This window comes from Homo sapiens, chromosome 19 (assembly GCF_000001405.40).
Source record: "Homo sapiens chromosome 19, GRCh38.p14 Primary Assembly".
In the NCBI taxonomy this organism is placed as follows: domain Eukaryota; kingdom Metazoa; phylum Chordata; class Mammalia; order Primates; family Hominidae; genus Homo; species Homo sapiens.
Window position 1 is genome coordinate 43,646,095 of NC_000019.10, and position 15,616 is coordinate 43,661,710.

Sequence of the window (15,616 nt, forward strand, 5' to 3'; positions counted from 1 at the left end):
TCCAGCCAATTTTTTTTTATTTTTAGTGGAGATGAGGTCTCACTGTGTTGCCCAGGCTGATCTTGAACTCCTGAGCTCAAGAGATCTTCCTTTCTCACCCTCCCAAAGTGCTAGGACTACAGGCATGAGCCACTGTGCCTGTCCTTCCATGATGTTTTGATATAGGCACACAATGTGTTAGTTTATAAAGTTTGTAATAATTTATCACAGGCAGCCCTAGGAAACTAATATAGCCAAGTTTCCTGTTTCTTCTCTATATCACATCTGCTGGGGCTACATGTCCAAGGTGGCTTCTTCACCCACTTGTCTGGTGCCTGGGCTGAGATGGCTGAAACATCTGGGGCTCTATCTCCACATGGCATTTATACATGAGTAGCTTGGGCTTCCTCACAGCATGGTGGTCTCAGGGCAGTAGTACTTTTACATGGCAACCAGCTTCCCCAGAGTGAGCGTTCTAAGATTCAGAAAGTGAAAAATGAAAGTTTCTTAAAACTTGGTTCCAGAACATAGCACAGCAAAACTTCCACCACATTCTACTGGTCAAAGCAGTCACAGAGTCACTCATATTCAAGAGGCAGAAGTACAGACCTCACTTCTTTAAGCCACTACAGTGACAGGTGGTGATATGTCATTAGAGAAAGCCCTAAACAAGAACCTTGTCCCTCACCTGCCCCCAAATACCATGGAAGATGTCTTTTTTTTTTTTTTTTTTTTTTTGGGGATAGTCTCACTGTGTCATGCAGTGGTGTGATCTTGGCTCACTACAACCTCCTCCTCCTGGGTTCAAGCGATTCTCCTGCCTCAGCCTTCCGAGTAGCTGGAGTTACAGGCACCCACCACCTTACCCGGTTAATTTTTGTAATTTTAGTAGAGACGGGGTTTTGCCAAATTGGCCAGGCTGGTCTCAAACTCCTGCCTCAAGTGATCTGCCCACCTCGGCCTCCCAAAGTGCTGGGATTACAGGCGTGAACCACCACAGCCAGCCGAAGATATCTTATTTTTTCTTCATTAGCCACAAGATTTGATGGGGAATGTAATTTTTGTCTCCATGGGTTGCCTTAGCAAATGATGAGAAGAACATGAATTTTTCAATATTGTGCTCCTAGAGTGCCATTGAAATGGTAGTTCTGTCTCTTTTTCTGACAGTCCTGAGGCATCCCGGGAAATAGAGCCCAGCCTTTATCCCCGGTCCCCAGCACATCAGGGGAAGTGCACTCCTGTCCTTATTCCTCACTGCAGTGCATGCAGGGAGTTCTGGCCATCAGGTTATCTTCTATCCGTCTCCTTTCCCAAAGCATGCTGGGAAATGTGGGGATGTCTCCTTAGAACAACAAAATAGTTGCAACCTTTGAAGTTTAGGAGAAGACTAGAAGGTTAGTGTTCAGTGTGTGATCTGGAAGCTTGCATTTGTAAGAATTAAAGAAAGAGGAGGCCAGGCACGGTGGCTCATGCCTGTAATCCTAGCACTTTGGGAGGCCAAGGTGGGCAGATCACCTGAGGTTGGGAGTTTGAGACCAGCCTGAACAACATGGAGAAACCCTGTCTCTACTAAAAATACAAAATTAGCCGGGTGTGGTGGTGCATGCCTGTAATCCCAGCTACTTGGGAGGCTGAGGCAGGAGAATCCCTTGAACTAGGAGGTGGAGGTTGTGGTGAGCTGAGATTGTGTCATTGCACTCCAGCCTGGGCAACAAGAGTGAAACTCCATCTCAAAAAAAGAAAAGAAAAGAAAAGAAAAAGGAAAAGGAAAGAAACATGAAATGTGGCTTGACGGTGAAGGACAGGTTTATTTTAGAGAAAACCAACCTGAGGGGGGCTTTTGGCTGAGTTAGGTTAGAGAGCCCTTTTTTTTTTTTTTTTTTACAGACTAAGGATATTTAAGAGTTTTGGAAGGGGGTGCTTATCTAGGTTCGGAATGTTTTCATGTGAGGAAAAGTTTATTGTGGGGTTGGAAAGTCTCTGGTCGGAAGGGAGGCTATCTGGGGGTTGGCATGTTTCTGGTCAGAGAGGGGTTTATCTTAGGGTTGGAATGTTTCTGGTTATGCTGATGGTAGCCATTAGGCTGATGTTTTGGGGCTGGATTTAGCTGATTTTTTTTTGAGACAGAGTCTTGCTCTGTCACCCAGGCTGGAGTGCAGTGGTGCAATCTCGGCTCACTGCAAGCTCCACCTCCCGGATTGACGCCATTCTCCTGCCTCAGCCTCCCGAATAGCTGGGACTACAGGCACCCGCCACCACGTCCGGATTTAGCCGATTTTTAATCAAGAGGAACTAAGAATGGTGGTGTTTGTTCAAGATGGCAGTGCTCCTGCTCTGTCAGCATTTGGAGTCCAGAAATAGATGTGGAGGCAGCCCCCAGGAGGACTTCCAACCTAGGCAGGGGCCTCAAACATGACCCCTGATTCCAGGAGCCTGTGAAAAGGTGTCCCCCACCATTTATCCTCCCAAAGATAGACACTACAAAGAAGGGCATACCTGGCCTTGTCCACTGGTACAAAATCTTTATGTAAGTATAAAATAAATAATATGAATATTAATTAATAACAACAACACAACAGCGGCAACAATATTAATAATAACAAGAGCTCTCCCATTGGCCCACGGCCTTCCTCCAGCTTTTCTCTTCTGCTTCACACAACTTTGTGAGATAGCTGTTTTCATAGCTGGGAAAACTGAGGCCCAGAGAGGTCGGCACACTGGCCTGAGGTCACACAGCAAGTCTGTAGGGCTGGGAGCCGAGGGAAGGGCAAAGGGGTCCCCCGGATCCAGCCAGGGCAGAGAGGGGGATTTCAGGTTTAGGTCCAGAGGAGAGTGCCTCCCCACAGTCTGGCAGTCATTAGCAGGGTGATGGTGAGGCTGAGATGGGCAGGGCCAGGCTGAGGAGCAGCCCCACTGCGGTACTGGACATCCAGGTCTGGGTGGTTACAGCCACTTTTAGTACAGCAGGAGACATCAATGTGGTTCATGCTGAAGGCGTCACCCAGGTGGGCATGTTGGCACATTGAGGCGGTTGCACAGCCTCTTACCATATAGCTTTGGTTTTTCGGTTCTGAGGAAAGAGAAGACGGAGTGAGACTTCCAGCTCCTGGGCCCAGGACTGGAATTCTCCAGTAGGTGACCTGCCACCTTGCAGTGGGTGCCACCTTCACTACCACCTAGAGAAAGCAGCAGTTCTCAGGGCCAGGTGTGGTGGCTCATGCCTGTAATCTCAACACCTTGGGAAGCCAAGGAGAGAGGATAGCTTGAGCCCAGGAGTTCCAGACCAGCCTGGACAACATAGCAAAACTCTGTTTCTACAAACATAAAAAAGAAAAAAACAGCTGTAGTCCCAGCTACTTGGGAGGCTGAGATGAGAGGATCACTTGAGCTCAGGAGATGGAGGCTGTGGTGAGTTATGATCACGCCACTGCACTCCAGCCTGGGTAACAGAGTGAGACCCTGTTTCAAAAAACAAATAAAAAGAAAGAAAGGAAGGAAGGGAGGGAGGGAGGGAGGGAAGAAGGAAGGGAGGAAGGGAAGAAGGGAAAGAAAAGAAAGAAAGAGAGAGAGAGGGAGGAAGGAAGGAAGGAGAAGGGAAAGAAGGAAGGAAGGGAGGAAGGAAGGAAGAAAGAAAGAAAGAAAGGGAAAGAGAGACAGAGAAAGAAAAGGAAAGAAAAAAAAAGAAAGAAAGGAAGCGAGCAGCGGTTCTTAAAGTGTGGCTCAGGGACCCCAGAGACCCTTTCAGGAGATCTGTGATTTCACATGGCTTTTTCACTCTCATAAGTGTACAATGGGCTTTTCCAAAAACTCCAGGACATGTGATATTGCAAGAGACTGAAAGCAGAAGCTTCCATGAGGACCCAGCTGTCTTCTATTAAGCTGGACATTAAAGAGATGTGCAACACAGCAAAATAATGCCAGTTTTCTCATTACGCTTTTTTTTTGTTTTTTTTTTTGAGATGGAGTCTCACTCTGTCACCCAGGCTGGAGTGCAGTGGCACGATCTCGGCTCACTGCAACCTCTGCCTCCCGGGTTCAAGCAATTCTTCTGCCTCAGCCTCCCAAGTAGCTGGGACTACAGGCGCGACCACCATGCCCAGCTAATTTTTGTATTTCTAGTAGAGACGGGGTTTCACCATATTGGCCAGGCTGGTCTCGAACTCCTGACCTTGTGATCTGCCCGCCTTGGCCTCCCAAAGTGCTGGTATTACAGGCGTGAGCCACCGCGCCTGGCTGGTTTTTTTTTTGTTGTTTCTTTGTTTGTTTTTTTAAGACAGGGTCTCGCTCTGTTGCCCAGGCCGCAGTGCAGTGGTGCAATCTCCGTTCACTGCAACCTCCACCTCCCAGGCTCAAGTGACCCTCCCACCTCAGCCTCCCAAGCAGCTGGGACTACAGGCATGCACCACCATGCCCAGCTAACTTTTGTATTTTCTGTAGAGACAGGATCTTGCTATGTTGCCCAGGCTGGTCTCAAATCCCTAGGCTTAAGTGACCCGCCCACCTTGGCCTCCCAAAGTATTGGGATTATAGGCATGAGCCACCATGCCTGGCTATCATTACATTTTTTCTTTGGAAACTATACTTATTTTTCATTAAAATGTTATTTATCTTAATGTGTAATGAGTTTTTATTGTTATAAGATGAATTCATAAATAAATCTTTAAAGATTTCTCAGTTTTGGCTGGGCACGGTGGCTCACATCTGTAATCCCAGCACTTTGGGAGGCCGAGGCAGGCAGATCATGAGGTCAGGAGATCGAGACCATCCTGGCCAACATGGTGAAACCCCGTCTCTACTAAAATTACAAAAATAAGCTGGGCATGGTGGCTCATGCCTGTAATCCCAGCTATGCAGGAAGCTGAGGCAGGAGGATTGCTTGAACCCAGGAGGGGGAGGTTGCAGTGAGCTGAGACCATGCCACTGCACTCTAGCCTGGCGACAGAGCAAGACTCCATTTCAAAAAAAAAAAAAAAAGATTTCTCAGTTTTAATTTTAATTTAATTTTATTTTATTTTATTTTTTGGGACGGAGTTTCACTCTTGTTGCCCAGGCTGGAGTGCAATGGCACAATCTTGGCTCACCGCAACCTCTGCCTCCCAGGTTCAAGTGATTCTCCTGCCTCAGCCTCCCGAGTAGCTGGGATTATAGGCATGTGCCACCATGCCCGACTAATTTGTATTTTTAGTAGAGATGGGGTTTCACCATGTTGGTCAGGCTGGTCTTGAACTCCCGACCTCAGGTGATCTACCCACCTCGGCCTCCCAAAGTGCTAGGATTACAGGCGTGAGCCACCACTCCTGGTTCTCAGTTTTAATTTTAATGTGGCATTTATCTATAGAAATCACTGATATAAACAATAAAGAGTTTTTTTTTTTTTTTGAGACAAAGTCTCCCTCTGTCATCCAGGCTGGAGTGCAGTGGGGTGATCCCCACTCACTGCAACCTCCTCCTCCTGGGTTCAAGTGATTCTCGTGCCTCAGCCCCCTGAGTAGCTGGGGTTATAGGTGCACGCCACCACACCCAGCTAATTTTTGTAATTTTTTGTAGAGACAGGGTTTCACCATGGTGGCCAGGCTTGCTCTCATACTCCTGACCTCAAGTGGTTCTCCTCCTCACCCTCCCAAGGTGTTGCAATTACAGGCGTGAGCCACCACACCTGGCCAAAAATAATTTTTAAAAGCATGAAGAAGTTGAGACCAAAAAGTTTGAGAACCACTGGAATACAGAGACCTTTCCAGGACACCACAGGATGAAAGCCCAAGATGTCTTCAGCAAATCCCCACAACCCACGAGAAATCCACCAAAGAATTCCATTTTTCTTTTTGTAGAGATGGGGGTCTTGCTATGTTGCCCAGGCTGGTCTCAAACTCCTGGCCTCAAGAGATCCTCCGGCCTCAGCCTCCCAAAGTGCTGAGAGTACAAGCTTCAGCCACCGCACCCAGCCGGAATTCCACTTTTCCATGGCAAAAATGTCCACATCCTGATGGACAAGTCCTAATTCCTTACAATAATATTCACCCACCTGAAGGAAATCCCACCTTTTCCACAGGGAGACCCACCACAGTTAACTCCAGCTTAACTGGAAGTCAATCTCTTGCGGAACTCTCCACCCCCAATAAGTGTTCCCTCCCAGCCTCGGAGAGGGCCTCACCGTGAGTGCCGGTGGCTACCAGACATTGATTCATGGGGCCTCGGCAGTCAATGAGGAAAGTCTCTTCAGAGGAGCATCCATGGGTGCTGTTCCCCTTGCAGCTGTAACACTGGCGGCCATTCTGCGGCAGATTTTCAAGCTCCAGGACTTAGGAGAAGACCAGAGACACAGAGACCAAGAAAATTAGTGCTTGGATCTCCACTTCCTTGAATGACCTCCCCAGGACTTCCACTCCGAGCCAGAGATGTCATGGAGCCACCTTGTGGTCAGGCGTCTGAATGGCATTTGGAGGGGGATGGTTTTCGAGGGCTTGAGAGAAACCCCAACTTTCAACTCCCCATGAGTCCCATTTCTGGCCAGGCACCGTGCTGGGTGCTGGGTAAAACTATGTAAGATGAAACTGTCCTTGCTCTCACAAAAGTTACAACTTATTTATTTATTTTTGATACAGGGTCTCAGTTTGTTGCCCAGGCTGGAGTGCAGTGGCGCAATTGTAGCTCACTGCAGCCTCGACCACCCCGGCTCAAGAGATTCTTCCACATCAGCCTCCTGAGTAGCTGGGACTACAGGCGTGCACCACCATGCCTAGCCAATTTTTCTGTTTTTTGTAGAGATGGGGTTTTGACACATTACTCAGGCTGGTCTCAAACTCCTGGGATCAAGCAATCTGCCTGCCTCAGCCTCCCAATGTTCTCGGAGTACAGGTGTGAGCCACTGTACCTGGCCAGAACTTACAAGTTATTACTATTATTATTACTAAAAAATTTTTTTTGAGACGGAGTCTTGCTATGTTGCCTAGGCTTGTCTCAAACTCCTGGCCTCAGGCGACCCTCCCGCCTCCGCCTCCAAAAGTGCTGGGATTACAGGTGTGAGCCACTGTGCCCAGCCAGAATTTACAATTTAGAGCTACACTACCCAATCTGGTAGCCACTGGCCACATGTGGTTGTTTACATTTAAATAAATTAATATTAAATCGAATCTTAAAATTCAGTTCACATTTCAAGTGCTCACTGACCACATACAGTGGTGGCTGTAATATTGGACAGGACAGATAGGGAACATTTCTATCTGTTGACAGTGCTGGGTAATAGAGACAGGGATCTAGATTACACTGGAGGGGAGGGACAGTGAAAGCATCCCTGAAGATGATACATTAAAGCTGAGGCCTAATGGATGAGAAGTTGCCAGCAGGGTGAACTCTTGGGGAAGATGTGTTCTAAGGGAGGATATTCATCTGCAAGGGCCATGAGACCAGATGGGCTTTGGTGATTATAGAAACCAAATGAACGTCAGCACAGCGGCTCATGCCTGTAATCCCAGCACTTTGGGAGGCCGAGGCAGGAGAATCGCTTGAACCTGGGAGGCGGAGGTTGCAGTGAGCCAAGATCACGCCACTGCCCTCCAGCCTGGCTGACAGAGCGAGACTCCATCTAAAAAAAGAAAGAAAGGAAGAAAGAAAGAAACTAAATGAAGGCCAGGTGCAGCGGCTCATGCCTGTAATCCCAGCACTTTGGGAGGTCAAGGCAGAAGGATTGCTTGAGCCTGGGAGTTTGATACCAGCCCCGGCAACATAGTGAGACCCCATCTCTACAAAAGTTTTAAAAATTTAGCTGGGTGCGGCCGGGCGTGGTGGCTCACGCCTGTAATCCCAGCACTTTGGGAGGCTGAGTCAGGCGGATCATGAGGTCAGGAGATCGAGATCATCCTGGCTAACACAGTGAAACCCTGTCTCTACTAAAAATACAAAAATTAGCCAGGCATGGTGGTGGGTGCCTGTAGTCCCAGCCACTCGGGAGGCTGAGGCAGGGGAATGGCGTGAACCCGGGAGGCGGAGCTTGCAGTGAGCCAAGATCGCGCCACTGCACTCCAGCCTGGGCAACAGCGCAAGACTCCATCTCAGAAAAAAAAAAAAAATGTAGCTGGGTGCAATGATGCGCATCTGTAGTCCCAGCTACTTGGGAAGCTGAGGTGGGAGGATCACTGGAGCCCAGGAGTTTGAGGTGGCAGTGAGCCGTGATTGTGCCACTGCACCCCAGCCTGGGTGGCAGAGCAAGACCCTATGTCTAAAGAAAACACAAAACCCCAAAAACGAATCTAAACAAAGACTGTGAGGCAGACAGGTGCCAGATTACATAGGCCAACAGAATAAGGTCTTTGGATCTTATTCTAAGAGGAAGGGGAAGTCATTGAAGTGCCTGAGAAAGGAGGGTGACATGATCTGATTTACATTAAAAAATAAAAAATTGGTGGTGCATGGTGGCTCATGCCTGTAATCCTAACACTTTGGGAGGCCAAGCCCAGGAGTTCAAGACCAGCCTGGGCAACAAAGCAAGACCCCATCTCTACCAAAAATACAAAATTAGCTGGGTACGGTGGCATGCACCTGTAGTCGCAGCTACTCCAGTAGCTTAGGTGGGAAGAATTCCTGAGCCCAGGAGTTTGAGGCTGCAGTGAGCCATGATCATGCCAGTGCACTCCAGCCTGGGTGACAGAGCGAGACCCTGTCCCCCCCATACCCCCCAAAAAATCACTCGCTGCTGGGTTGAGCCTTGGCTGTAGGGTGGCAGGAGTGGAAGCAGGGAGACCAGAGAGGAGGTCATTGCAACAACCTGGGCAAGAAGTCAGCGTGGCTCAGCCCAGGTGGTGGCAGTGGAGCAGGGGAGGAGTGGGAAAATTTGAGAGAGACAAAAGAGACAGGAAGCACAGGTCTTGGCGAGGGCTGATAGTATCATTGAATCCTTACGAAGTTCTTCTTTGAAGAAAGGCCTGGCTGGGTGCAGTGGCTCATGCCTGTTACCCCAGCACTTTGTGAGGCTGAGGCAGACAGATCACTTGAGGTCAGGAGTTCGAGACCAGCCTGGCCAACATGGTGAAACCCCCATCTCTACTAAAAATAGAAAAATTAGCCAGGGGTGATGGTGGGCACCTGTAATCCCAGCTACTCAGGAGGCTGAAGCAGGAGAATCGCTTGAACTCGTGAGGCGAAGTTTACAGTGAGCGGAGATCACGCCATTGCACTCCAGCCTGGGCAACAGAGTGAGACTCCGTCTCAAAAAAAAAAAAAAAAAAAAAAAGGCCTGATACTCCCATTTTTCAGAAAAGCAAACAGAGGCCCAGAGAGGACTTGATTGCCAGAGAGTGACTGCGCAGCTGTCTGCCTGAGTGCATGCCCCTGCCCGACCCCAGGCCTTGCCTGTGTCTCCCGTTCCTTACTTGGGCCCTCGTTGCATTTGGTGGTGTTGCAGCATTTCAGGAAGTGGAAGGTGTCGTTGTTGTGGAAACCATTGGAGCCCGGGCAGCCGGGAAGGTAGCCACAGCCACGGAGGTGGCGGTCATCCTTTGGACGCCCTATGGGGGCCAGGGGACAGAGGTCAGATGTCAGATTGTGAATGAGGGACTAAGATGGGATTTGCCCGAAATAGCAGGCATTCAACCATTCTCTACTTCACCCTTCATCATAAGACCCTCATTTTATCTAGAACAGTCATAGATCTTGTCGAAAACTACATATTCCAGCCTCTCCAGGTAGTCATGTGATGAAGTTCGGACTAATGTGATATAAATAGAAGTGCTTTATGGGACTTCCAGAAAGGAGAACCCTTACAAAAGGAGGAGTGCCCCCTTTTTTGTCCCTTCTTTCCTTCTTCCTCCTTCCTGGAACTTAGATGTGAGACCCGGAGCTCTGGCAGCCATTTTAGACTATGAGGCATTTTGAGAATGGAAGTAATGTGTAAGAAACAAGAGGGTGGCCGGGCGTGGTGGCTCACGCTTGTAATCCCAGCACTTTGGGAGGTTGAGGCGGGTGGATCACAAGGTCAGGAGTTTGAGACCAGCCTGACCAACATGGTGAAACCCCATCTCTACTAAAAATACAAAAATTAGCAAGGCGTGGTGATGCACACCTGTAATCCCAGCTATTCAGGAGGCTGAGGCAGGAGAATCACTTGAACCTGGGAGGCGGAGGTTGCAGCCAGCCAAGATCATGCCATTGCACTCCAGCCTGGGTGACAGAGAGCAAGACTCTGTCTCAAAAAATAAATAAATAAATAAATAAAAAGAAATGAGAAGGCATCTGGGTTCCTGGTGACTCTGGACCTGTCCTTGTGGCCCTGGACTTCCTATCACTGGACCTCTTGTGTATGAGAGAACTTAGTCCCTTGCTGACATCCCTGTTACTTTGGGGTTGTTTGTTAAGTGCAGTCTTAGGGAGGAGCAGAGCAGGGAGGAGGAGTTGCCAGCAGGTTGGGGCTCACCTTCTTCACCTTCCTGGATCCAGTGGGTCACCACATCCAGGCACTGTTCTTCAGGGCTGCGGCACTGCAGGCTCTGGTGCCGGCCCCTCTCACAGCTCATGTCTGATGAGCCACAGGAAATGCATTCGAGGTAACGGCTTCGGGAATAGGTGACAGCCCGGCCTGTTTGGAAGAGGGGGAGGGGAGTGAGACTCCATGGGGACAGTCCTGGAGCCCCAGCTCTGCAAGGACTCACTCAAAATCAATTCCTCCTTATCCCACCCTGCAGCCAGTCATTGAGCCCTGCCTATTCTGCCTGCTGAATCTTTCTAGAATCCACCCCCTCCTTTCCAGCCCCATGGACCAGTCCAGCTCAGACCTCCTTCAACTCCAGCTACCTCCCTAGCCTCTGGGTTTCCATTCTTGTCACCCCCTACTCACCCCAGTGCAGCATCTCCACATGGCCCTAGAAACATTTCTTTCCTTTTTTTTTTTTTTTTTCCCGAGACAGAGTCTCACTCCGTCACCCAGGCTGGAACGCAGTGGCACCATCTTGGCTCACTGCAACCTCCACTCCCCGGGTTCAAGTGATTCTCCTGCCTCAGCCTCCCGAATAGCTGGGACTACAGGCGTGCACCATCACGCTGGGCTAATTTTTGTATTTTTAGTAGAGACAGGGTTTCACCATGTTGGCCAGGCTGGTCTCGAACTCCTAACCTCAAGTGATCTACATGCCTTGGCCTCCCAAAGTGCTGGGATTACAGGCATGAGCCACTGCACTCGGGCCCTTAGAAGGATATTTCTAATACTCATATCTGACCCTGTCTCTCCTCTGCTCAAGACTCTTCCATAGCTCCCTACTGCCCTGAAAATAAATTCCAAGATCCTCAGCATGGGATTCAAAGCCTATCAAATACTGGGGCCTGAGCACCTCTCCTGCCTCGTCTCCCTCCACTACACCCTGAGACTCTGCTCCACACTGACTTCCCACAGTCTGCGACGACACATGTTCCCTGGCATCCAGGCCTTTGCATATGCCGTTGTTTCTGTCTAGAACACCTTTCCTTTGCTCTCTGCCTTCCCTAACTCCTACTCATTCTTCAGGTGTCAGCTCTAATTTCACCTCCTCTAGGAAGCCCTTCCTGATCCACCAGGCTCCCACACACCCCTGTACTCCCCCATCCCACTCTGGGTGGTCACTGTCTGGTGACAGGTATGTCTCCTCTACTGGACTGTGAGCCCCCAGGAGGGCAGGGCCAGGGGCTGTCTTGATCACTACTGTGTCCCAACACCACCTGGCACATGGCCAGGGACAGATAAGATATTCAATGCATATTTGTTAAATGAATGAATGAATGAGCAATTACTTAAAACCCTTCTATTGTTCCCTGTGGTAGCCTGTCTCCAAAATGGCCCCCAATAATCTCTGCTCCCTGGTATTCATGCCCTTAAAGAATAGGGCTGGCTGGGTGCAGCAGCTCATGCCTGTAATCCCAGCATTTTGGGAGGCCGAGGTGGGAGGATTGCTTGAGTCTGGGAGTTTGAGACTAGTCTGGGCAACATAGCAAGACTCTGTCTTTAAATTAAAAAAAAAAAAGAAGAAGAAAAGAATAAGGATGCCCTATGTAGTCAACTGGATATTATGGAAATGATGGTGTATGCCTTCTGTGGCTAGATCATAGAACACATGCCTGGCTCTCTCACTTGGATCACTTTTTCTGGGGCAAGCAGCAGCCATGTTGTGAGGACACTCAAGTAGCACCATGGGAAAGTTCACGTGGCAGAACTGAGGCCTGTGCCAAAGCCATGGGAGGGGAGCATTCATGTGAGTGAAGCTACCTTAGGAGCCTTCAGATGACTGCAGCCCCAGCTGACATCTCGACTGCAGGCTCATGAAGGATCCTGAGCCAGAACCACCTAGCTAAGCCACTCCAGGGTTTTTGACCTTCAGAAACTTTGTGAAATAACACATGCTTATTTTATTGCTGCAATCTGTAATGCAGCAATAGATAATAGATAAGCAATAGATAATACACTACCTAATTGTCCCAGGGATCAAAGACTCACTTGACTGATTCCTGATCACTTCGCCTTTTGCACGAACCTTGTGGTGTTGGCCAACTGGATCCGTTACTTTTCCCTGGAAACACCAGAGTCATTCCTCTACCCAGCCCTTGGCTCACACCATTTCCCATGCTTGGCATGCCCTCCCCGTCCTGACCCAAGACACATCTAAGCTGAGTCCAGGCCAAGTCTTAAAAAAGTGAGAGGACCATGTCAGCCAAGGTTCTCAACTGGCAGGCCGCTAGCTGTAATTAGGCGAATCATTTACATCCAAAGCCCAATCGTCCCCCTCAAAGAAAAATAACTACAAGGCCACCCACGTCTTCTCACACAAACTTCCATGAAAATGAAAACACAAATTCTCACCATTGCCAACATAGCTGTTCATACCTAGAACACCTTTTCCTTGAGCCCTACTTTCTCTAACTCCTATTCATTCTTCAGCTGTCATCTTCAATTTCACCTCCTCTAGGAAGCCCTCCCTGACCCATCAGCCTGGAACGGGTACCTGCTCTGAGCTCCCACTGCCCCTTGAATTCCCCATTTCTAGTTCTGCCCACTCTGGGTGGTCACTCATGGGTCTCTGGTGTGAACTCTTGTAAATGCCAATGATCCTTAGGGCTATTTTCCTTTTTCTTTTCTTTTCTTTTTTTTTTTTTTTGAGATAGGGTCTTGCTCTGTCCCAAGGCTGGAGTGCAGTGGCTCACTGCCACCTCGACCTCCCTGAGCTCAGGTGATTCTCCCATCTCAGCCTACTGAGTAGCTGAGACTACAGGCATGTGCCAGTTCACCTGGCTGATTCCTGTATTTTTGTAGAGACAAGGTCTTGCTATGTTACCCAGGCTAGTCTCGAACTCCTGGACTCAAATGATCCTGCCGCTTCGGCCTCCTAAAGTGCTGGGATTACAGACGTGAGTACCGCACCTGGCCAGGGCTCTGTTTTAAGCCCTTTTTATCTCTCACAGTATAGACTCTCTCATGGGGTAAATATTGACATGACTTCATTTCCATCTATCTGCTCATCACTCACAAATCTCTCTCTAGTCTAGACTTCTCTCTGAGCTCCAGACACGCAACTGTCTCTTCGAGGCCCCATGGCTATACCTCAAACACCTGTCCTAAACAAAACTCCCCATCTTCTCCCACAACTGCTCTTTTTCTTGAAGTCCACGCGTCCAAGGCGGCCCCATCCAGTCCCCGGGGCAGAAACCTGGCAGACCCCCTTATCTTCCACATCTGTGCATCAACCGACATGCTTCTACTGTTCTGTCTTCTAGCTCCTTAATCCTTTTGCTCTGCTGTTTCTGACCTCTATCAAGCATAACTGCCGAGTTCTTCATTTGAGTCACTGTTCTATATTTTCTGTTGGACTCTTTTAAAAAATGGATTCCAGGTGCTAAAACATATCCTTTCTTCTGTTTTCCTGAATATATCGATTGTAGCAATTTTCATGTTTCCTGTCCTATAATCCAATATCTGAGTTGCTACAATTCTGTTTCTACAGTTGGATTTTTCTCTTGGTTTCTGGTCAATTGGTCCCTTTTATTTTCTTCAGGATACCTTGTAAGGTTTTTTGTTACTGTTTTTTATTTTTTGTTTTTTGTTTTGTTTTGTTTTGAGACAGAGTCTTGCGTTTTGTTTTGTTTTGTTTTGTTTTGTTTTGAGACAGAGTCTTGCCCTCTCGCTCAGGCTGGAGTGCAATGGTGTGATCTCGGCTCACTGCAACCTCCACCTCCCTGGTTCAAGCAATTCTCCTGCCTCAGTCTCCCAAGTAGCTGGTATTACAGGTGTGTGCCACCATACCCGGCTAATTTTTTTTTTTTTTGTATCTTTAGTAGAGAAGGGGTTTCACCATGTTGGCCAGTGTGGTCATGAACTCCTGACCTTGTAATCCTCCCACCTCGGCCTCCCAAAGTGCTGGGATTACAGGCTTGAGCCACCATGCCCGGCCTGGTTTTTTTTTTTTTTAAAGATGGGGTCTTGCTATGTTGTCCAGGCTGGTGTGCAGTGGCTATTCATAGGCATAATCCTGCTACTGATCATCACAGGAGTTTTGACCTGCTCCATTTCTGACCTGGGCTGCTTCAACCCCTCCTTAGACAACCTGGTGGTCCCCTGCTCCTGGGAGATCACCATATTGATGCCAAACTTAGTGCAGACACCCGGTTGATATAGCACACTACAGCCCAGAACTCTCAGGCTCAAGAAATCCTTCCAAGTAGTTGGGACTACAGACGCATGCCACCATGCCTAGCTATCTTGTAAATTTTGATCAGACGCCAGACATTCTAGATAAAAATCTGTCAAGGGCCTAAACGATGTTTTCTTCTTCCACAGAGAGTCAGGTTTTCATTCCTGTCAAGGACTGGACCTAGGCTTGTTTAGGGCTGGTCTATTTCACTTTGGCCCTTACCCCTGGGGTGGTCTTAGGGGGAAAGCCTGAGATGCTTACCAAGGCCTCTTCAGCTTGGCAACCTGTGTCCCCAGCATCACATGTCTGCTGGAAGCCTTGTTCGCTTTTGTAGCTTCCCAGTTGCTATTTTTCTCTTCCAAGTTTCTTGGACTCTCACCCTGTGCATGTAGAGCTTGCCAATGACTTGAGGGAGATTTGTTTGCAGGTTGGGAACTCCCTTTTCTGTGGTCCCATCCATTCCAGGATTTTAACTCTCATCTTCCAGACATTCTGGCAGCCCCAAACTCCAACCTCCGTCTTCTCAGTCTAGCGACTCTCTTTCCGTCTGGGCTCTATTTCCCTTCCACAGCAGCAGATTGGCAAGTGCGCTCCGGGAAAAAGCCAGGTTGTCTGTGGAACCCAAATTCTACACTTCTGTTATTTCAGAGATTGTAGCGCCTCAAGTTTCTCCTTTCTTTCTTTTTTCTTTTTTTTTTTTTTGAAATGGAGTCTCGCGCTGTCGCCCAGGCTGGAGTGCAGTCGTGTGATCTTGGCTCACTGTAACCTCTACCTCCCGGGTTCAAGCAATTCTTGTGCCTCAGCCACCCAAGTAGCTGGGACCACAGGCATGTGCCACCACGCCTGGCTAACTTTTGTATTTTTAGTAGAGACGGGGTTTCGCCATGTTGCCCAGGCTGGTCTTGAACTCATGAGCTCGAGCAATTCACCTGTCTTGGCCTCCCAAAGTGCTGGGATTACAGGCATGAACCACTTTGCCCAGCCAAGTTTCTCCTTTC

At 48.7% G+C, this 15,616-nt stretch overlaps 1 protein-coding gene and 1 pseudogene across 18 annotated transcripts in view; both read right to left on the minus strand.

Moving 5' to 3' along the window:
• Nucleotides 1–15,616, minus strand: part of PLAUR (plasminogen activator, urokinase receptor) — a 24,075-nt gene continuing 8,459 nt past the window's right edge. For 3 of the 18 annotated variants that reach the window (XM_047438927.1, XM_047438925.1, XM_017026872.3), the window contains 5 exons: nt 10,385–10,546; nt 9,345–9,479; nt 6,131–6,277; nt 2,476–3,049; nt 1–454 (listed from right to left, as the gene is read on the minus strand). In XM_047438927.1, the coding sequence (XP_047294883.1) occupies nt 2,796–3,049; nt 6,131–6,277; nt 9,345–9,479; nt 10,385–10,546 (698 nt within the window). In that variant the 3' untranslated portion in view covers nt 1–454; nt 2,476–2,795. Of the gene's footprint in view, nt 455–2,475; nt 3,050–6,130; nt 6,278–9,324; nt 9,480–10,384; nt 10,547–15,616 lie in introns of those variants that run through there. The other 15 variants (XM_047438933.1, XM_047438926.1, XM_047438929.1 and 12 more) reach the window with 9 other exon arrangements.
• Nucleotides 14,406–14,682, minus strand: RN7SL368P (RNA, 7SL, cytoplasmic 368, pseudogene; annotated as a pseudogene).